Here is a 7,563-nt window from a genome sequence, read left to right as displayed (position 1 = left end):
AGAACTAGAACTTAGTACTAGGGCCCATCCAAGCCACCCACCCCTGGGCTGTGGGGTCACCTTGGGAAATGGCTCTTGAGTGAATCTGAAGAATCTTACTACCTTGGGAAGCAGATCAATTTGCTGGGAATAGGGAACTCCAGTACAGAGAGTGGCACAGAGAAGAAACCACTTCTCAAATATGGGATGGTTGTTGCCTTGGCAAACTGACAGGGGTCCGCACCAAGACCCGCAGGGTCCACACGGCAACGCTGTGACAGTGGCAGATGCCCTCCTGAGTTCCCCAGACTGACCACAGACTTCAGGCCCCACCTAGTAGAAGTGGCCCTGCTGCTCATGAAGCTGAGATTAGCAGACACTGGAGGCTCAACCCCAGTGGCAGCTCTGATGGCCACTGGGCAGGTCTAAGCCGCCCCCTCTTGCATCAGGAGCAGCTGACCCCTATCGGCATGCCAAGGACTCCTCACATAGTATTCCAGGGGAGTTTATTCCCTTGGGGGGGTGGGGGGGAAGCATTGCCTGCTAGTGTGTAACTGGCTACTGAAACATCAAGATTTGTGATATGGATGTAAAAGTGCCCTGACCTGTAGTTAGCAGGTACACTAAGAGCTGCACATTAGCCATTGTTACAGCCCTTGTCTGCATCGCTGGGCCACTGCCAAGAGGGGAATGTAGATTTTAAAAATGAAAATATCATTTCTTATGCAGGAAGTACTCTAACACTGCCTGTTTCCTCACAGTCCTTCAACGCGTCTGGTTGCTACCTTGTCATAATATTTGAATTAGGGTGGTGCGACACGCCACAGATGACACAAATGGGAACCCTATCTGGAGTGGAAGATCTCTGCTGCAGTTGGCAAAACATACCCTGATTCCCACCTTAATTTTCCTGGAACAACAGAGAGTTCGGCCTCTGAATGCTCTGCAGACACCCCCATCACTCCCTGGAACATGTCTGTCTCCTCTTCATGCTGTTCATGACCATTAGTCCTGTAATCTCCCACTCCTCTTCTGGCACTGAATGGAGAGGAAGGGAATTTCTCATTTTCTAATTGCCTCAGAAAGGCCCTCCCCAGGAAGTTGCAGGGAGGGGGACCACACTTCATGAACCCAAGGCCTCTAACGGAATGGAAGGAAGTAACATTGCCACCCTCTGTCTTAGGGGGAATCCCTAGGAACAGGAAGGTGGTGCCATTTTGGTGGAAGTAGACAGGAGCTGTGTGGAGTCATAGAGTAACATAACCAATTGTAGTAAAACTCAGGTCACTTTCAGCTTTTATTTTCTCTCCTAAGGGCTGTCTCCTTCAGTCAATTGTCCAGAGCTTAAAGCTAGGACCCCATGGAGAAAACTCTCTACCTCACGGTAATTATGTTCAGCCATCCTCTATGTACAAGCAGTAATGTCTTTAGTGTTTAAAGTGATCTTTCTTTCTTGTTGTTGCAGAGATGAGGTCTCCTTATGTTGCCCAGACTGGTCTTGAACTCCTGGCCTCAAGCGAGCCTCCCACCTCAGCCTTCCAAAGTGCTGGGATTACAGGTGTAAGCCACTGCACCTGGCTTTACAGTGAATGCAAATCTGATCCTGTCGCTCTCCAGCTTAATCACCTCCTGCGGTGCTCTGGGACAGAGCCCAGCCTCCTTAGCATGTAGGCAAGGTCCCCTTGCTCGGGCCTCATTAACTGCTCCGGTCTTGCTTCCTTCTGTGTCTCTCCCATGATCATCTCCCTGTGATGGCCACACTGGAGCCTCACTGAGATGTTTGCACAAAACTTCATGTCTCCCACATCTCCATGCCAACGTTCCACTGTTCTCTCTGCCTCAACGTCCCTTCCAGACAACGAGGTTAGATGCCTGGCTTCGTGCTCTTGTGACTTATGCACCTTTATCAGCACTCTTATCACACTGTACTAAAATCCTGCCTTATTAGCTGTCTTCCCTTCTTGGCTATGAACTAAACAAGCACAGAGATTGCCTATTACTCACTTTTACTTTCCTGAGGCAAAGCAGAAAGCCGGAAACCTAGGCTTAGTTGGCCCTCGATACATGTTAATTAAATGAAGGACTGATTCCATGAGTGAGTGAGTGCCCCGTCCTGAAGGATAGTTCCATGTGGTGTCACTTGCTTTTTTCCTAAGTGTTCAGATAAAGATTCAATTAAACTCAGCAAATATTTAAAGGGCACTTATTACGTGCCCCTCCTGTGCTAGGCACTGGAGATACAAAGACAAAGAAGCACAGTCCTGGGAACCCTCAAGTAGTTCCCAGCCGGGAAAGGGACACTGATGGACGCAGCTGTCCCTCAGCCGACAAGTCCAGACCGAAACACCTCACAGGAGACCCGGTTGGGTTTTCCACCAGGAGGGCTCAGGTCAGGTCAGGTGCTTCTGCTAAATGTGTTGTGAAACCAACAGCCAGCCTTTTTCAGCCTGCCTCTAGACCAGGAGGCAGGAATGTGCTCGGTAATGCAGCTGTGGTACTCCCGCCCATAGACCCCCAGTAGGAGCCAAGCAACCCTGGGATGAAGGCAGAGTGTGGGCTGGCTGGAGGGCCTGGGAAGGCCGCTGGGGAGGATGGGCCTTGTGAAGCTGTGCTTCCTCCGAGCTCTAACTTAGATCACATGGAGATTTGGAAGGACTGTTGGTGTGTCTTTCAGGGTGTTGCTAGAATCAGGGAACGCTAAAGCCTCCAGAGCCACCAAAACTGTCACCACTGGGAACAAAGGCTTTTGTCCCTAGGTAAGTATAATCATGCACTGGTGACAGGGGAAGGAGAGTGGGGAACTGGGGTTGGAGGGCCCTTCCCAGCATCTGGAAAATCACATTGAGTGAAAGGGTATTGACTAGAGACGGTGTTTTCCATTTCTGTTATTCTTTTAGGAGCTATTATAGAGTCAGGTTTAATAAGGAAGATGGGAAAACTCTCAGCTCACTCAATTGCTTTTAATTTATTAGTCTTATGTCTGTCTCCATTATTCCACACCCCTCACACCCCTATCATCAATCATAAAGTTCAGGAAAGAAGGTAAACAACCTTAGGAGAGCCAGACATGAGCCAAGCTCCAGCTGGGACATTTAGTGTCTGATGGGAGAGTGATCAAAAGTGAGACCCAATCGGTGGTCTCTAAACATATGACAGAAGCCTCTGACTGCTGCCCCTTTACAAGAGGCTTTAAAAAGCAAGTGTGCAAAGGAGGACAGAGAGGGAGAGGAAGGAGGAGGGAGAGCGGGCACTTGGGCGGCAAGGGTAGTGCTCTGGAAGTCTGGTATGATTCTGTCACGTTGCATCATCATCACAAAGGGGCCACATCTGAAGCAAAAAATGGCAAAGACTCAAAGAAAATAAATCATGCAGACTCTGGAATGACCTCATTAAAAAGCTGCTCTATCTGCTGCCATGTTCTATTTATAGCTGAAATATGGCGTTCCTGACAGGAAATCTAAATGACAGCAAGCCTAGGGTTTTAAGGCAGTGGGTAGGGGTTTGCTTAATGAATCATCTGATATTTTTATTCGGATGATTTTTCTGTTCTAATGAAACTATTAGTACAGTTCTCTTTTCTGCATGAGATGACATTCATGGGATGTGTTTTTTACTCAGGAATTGAGGATAGAGAAGTAAAAGGATCCTTTTATATAAAATCTTTTGCTAAATACATATGAACTTCATAATACACCATTACCCTCAACATATCTTAATGCTGGTTCACAATATTCTTTTCCAGGCCATATTGTAGCTGTTATTTCCAGTGATCATTGTAAATAACTTTATTATGTTTCACTGAAATCAATTTCATAGAAATCAAACCAATAAGGAAAACATCTTTTAAGAAGGAAGACATAGAGCCTTATTCCAAATGTTAAGAGAAAAAAGCAGATCATATACTGTGTAGATAAGCAGAGCCACACTTCTAAAACCCTGAAGCCCAGGGCCTGGATGCAGCTGCCAGCAAGTTCCCTCTCTGTGTTATGGGCAGAGGCAGGATTCATCTTTGAAGGAAGATTGCTTTTAAGTTTTTTGGGGGGAAAATCTTTTTTTTTTTTTTTTTGAGATGGACTCTTGCTCTGTCGCCCAGACTGGAGTGCAGTGGCACGATCTCGGCTCACTGCAAGCTCCGCCTCCCGGGTTCACGCCATTCTCCTGCCTCAGTCTCCGGAGTAGCTGGGACTATAGGCGCCCGCCACCACGCCCGGCTAATTTTTTGTATTTTTAGTAGAGACGGGATTTCACCATGTTAGCCAGGATGGTCTCGATCTCCTGACCTCGTGATCCGCCCGTCTCGGCCTCCCAAAGTGCTGGGATTACAGGCTTGAGCCACTGCGCCTGGCCAGGGGGAAAATCTTTAGCAAGTTTTCAGTTCTGGAAGACTGCTCTTCAGCCTGAGGACAGTTCAGATGCTTTTAAAAGAAAAAAAGTACAGACCCCACTCCCCACCCCCGCCACTGCCCCGATGCTGTTAAAGTGTTTTTATTAAAAACACTTCAAAAATATGTATTTAAGGCAAGATTTGAAATCCTGATCCTTGTGGCTCTTATACAACCTTAAAACCAAAACAAATTGTGATGTTTAATTTTATGTGTCAACTTAGCTAGGCCATGGTACCCAGATATTTGGGCAAACATTGTTTTAAATGTTGCTATGAAGGTTTCCTTTTAGATGAAATTAATGCATTTGAGTCAGTGGACTTTGAGTAAGGCAGATACCCTCCACAATACAGGTGGGCCTCGTCCAATCCGTTGAAGGCCTTAATAGAAAAAGACTGCTCTCTCCCCAGCAAGAAGGAATTCTGTCAGGAGAGGGCATTTGGATTTGAACTGTAAAACAGCTCTCCCCTGGGTCTCCAGCTTGTTGGCCTGCCCTGGAGATTTTGGACTTGCAACCTCCATAATCATGTGAGCCAATTTCTTTCTTTCTTTTTTTTTTAATATATAACAATTTTTAAAAAAAACAGACTTAAGGGTCTCGCTATGTTGCCCAGGCTGGTCTTGAACTCCTGGGGTCAAGCGATCCTCCCTCCAGCCTCAGCCTCCCAAAGTGCTGGGTTTATAGGTGTGAGCCACTGTGCCCAGCTAGTGTGAGCCAATTTCTTAAAATAAATCTCTTTCTTTCTCTACACACACACACACACACACACACGTGCGCGTGCGCATGCCCTATTGGTTCTGTTTCTCTAGAGATCCCTGACTAATACACAAATCTAAAAGTTAAATACCCCCAAACTACAAAACTAATAAAATTGATATGAACAACTGGAATGTAATGTGACAGGTACTGTTAGTTGTGTGCAGTTACTGATGTCAGGTTTCATAGTGGAAAGATGTCCTCTTAGAACTGTTTTGGTATTTCATCTGTTTCTGCATTTGATTTTTAAAAACCTAAAGCCAAGAAAGGTTGTTTATATAAGGGCATTGTATAAAACAATATAAAAAACTTTAAACTTTTATTTTATAACTCCTGGAAAATTAGAACTGATAATTAAAATTTTACCAAGAAGCAATCTTCAAATAATAATTCTATAAAGCTGTTTTAGTCATTGGAGGATAACATTAGCATTGCAGCATTATTTAAATATACATTCACTATTATCTAATTCGATTATTACTGGAAGTGGGAAGAAAGGCATTCTTCCCTGCTAATAGACTGTTTTATTTGGTGCATACAGATACAGAACACTCCATGCAACCACTTTCAAATATGAAAATGGTACTGCCTTCCAGAGAATAGGATCTTTAGAATTCTGCATATTTATATTATCATATGCTATGGCTGATTCAATTCTTCTGCCACTTTATTCAAGATGTTATAAACTATTCATTTATAGAGTGTGCCATGATATCATTTAGGCTTTAGTTCACAAACTTCACAAATGCAAATGCAGGCAATAAAAATTCTTGCCAGTACTCTGGTCCACCAGAAAATCAGAACATGCTTTAAAAAATCATTGAAATGAAAACAATATATTTAAAATAATCATACCTTTATATGTACAGAGCTCCTAAATATTAGTAAAGAAAGAAGAATAATCTTATCAGTGGAGGAAGAACATAAATTGGTAAGTTACCAAAAAATGAATTAAAAAACAGCATACAGGCTGGGAGCAGTGGCTCATGCCTGTAATCTCAGCACTTTGGGAGGCTGAAGTGGGCAGATCACTTGAGTCCAGGAGTTTAAGGCAACATGGTAAGACCCTGTCTCTACAAAACCACAAAAATTAGCCAGGTGTGGTGGTGCATGCCTGTAGTCCCAGCTACTCAGAAGGCTGAGATTGGAGGATCGTTTGAGCCTGGGAGGCAGAGGTTGCAGTGAGCCGTGATCATCCCATTGCACTCCAGTTAGGGTGACAGAGACAGCCCTGTCTCAAAAACAACCACCACCACCACAACAACGATGGCATAGAAACCTATGAAAAGACTTCTGGTTAAGCATGGTAAGTTGAACATACATATTTGTCTTTCTTCCCCCTCATACTGCCTACTAAAATTGCAGAAAGAAAGAAACAAGTATAATTCCACAATATGAGAGAAAAGATCTCAAATGAGTGATGTGGACGTCATTTTGGAAGCTGGAGAGCAGATAGACCAATGGCACTTGACTCAGTAGTCAGAGCAGAACCTGAGACCACAAGAGCGGGCAGTGGGAATGGGCAAGGAAGCCAAGAAGAAGCAAACCAATTCTAACTACAGCTCCAAAAAGGCACCGGGATTGGAGGTTCCAGGTACCTCTAAAAACAGGGGTAGGAGGTGGGGACAAAAATAGGAGGATCCATTGAAATTATTACAAGGGGTAGTTATATTTCAGGATCCCCTCTTCTCCACAGCTAAGCAATTGCCTCTACCCTGCCCCAGCAGAAAACTGGAGGTTGAGTCTCCTTCTGAATGTGGGGCACCAGGTGCAACTGAACATGAGTGTGTATGTAAATGTCCAAGTACTGAATGGTGACACCCTATCTCCAGTTTTCCACCTATCTTGTGCATGGAATGTTAATAGGCAGGAGGTTGGAGGATTTTTCTCTAGGGAAATGAATGAGCCCAAGAGAAAAGAACCAGCATGAATGGCCTTTGGGAGTTTTCCAACAAAGAATTTCCGACCTGATCACCCTACAGGGAAACGAAAAAGTCAAAAGTTCTCATCCATTCACATGAAGCTTCCAAACAAAGATTTTAGAATCTCACTTTTAAATAGGAATAATCAATTGAGAATTATTAGACACCTCAGGAATGCCTATGACGTGAAAGACAGTGGCACTAGACTGCCCAACAGTAGCCCCAGAAGATCAAAGACAATGGAGTGGTGCCTTCAGGATGCTGGGAAATTATCTCAAAACTGGAATTCCATACTCTATAGTTTACATGTAGATAGAATAAAGACATCTTCAAGTATTATAAGGTCTCAAAAATTTAAGTTTTATACACTCTTTCATAAAAAGCTGCTAGATGATGTTCTTCACCAAAATAAGTCAATTAATAAAGAAAGGGAAAGAGAGGCATTCATAAAATAGGGAATCCAGCAAGAGTGAAGAGAAAAAATCCATAGGATTTCCTGACGGGGAAAATCCCAGGGCAACAG

This window comes from Homo sapiens, chromosome 1 (genome assembly GCF_000001405.40).
Source record: "Homo sapiens chromosome 1, GRCh38.p14 Primary Assembly".
Lineage (NCBI taxonomy): Eukaryota > Metazoa > Chordata > Mammalia > Primates > Hominidae > Homo > Homo sapiens.
This window is presented reverse-complemented; position numbering follows the sequence as displayed.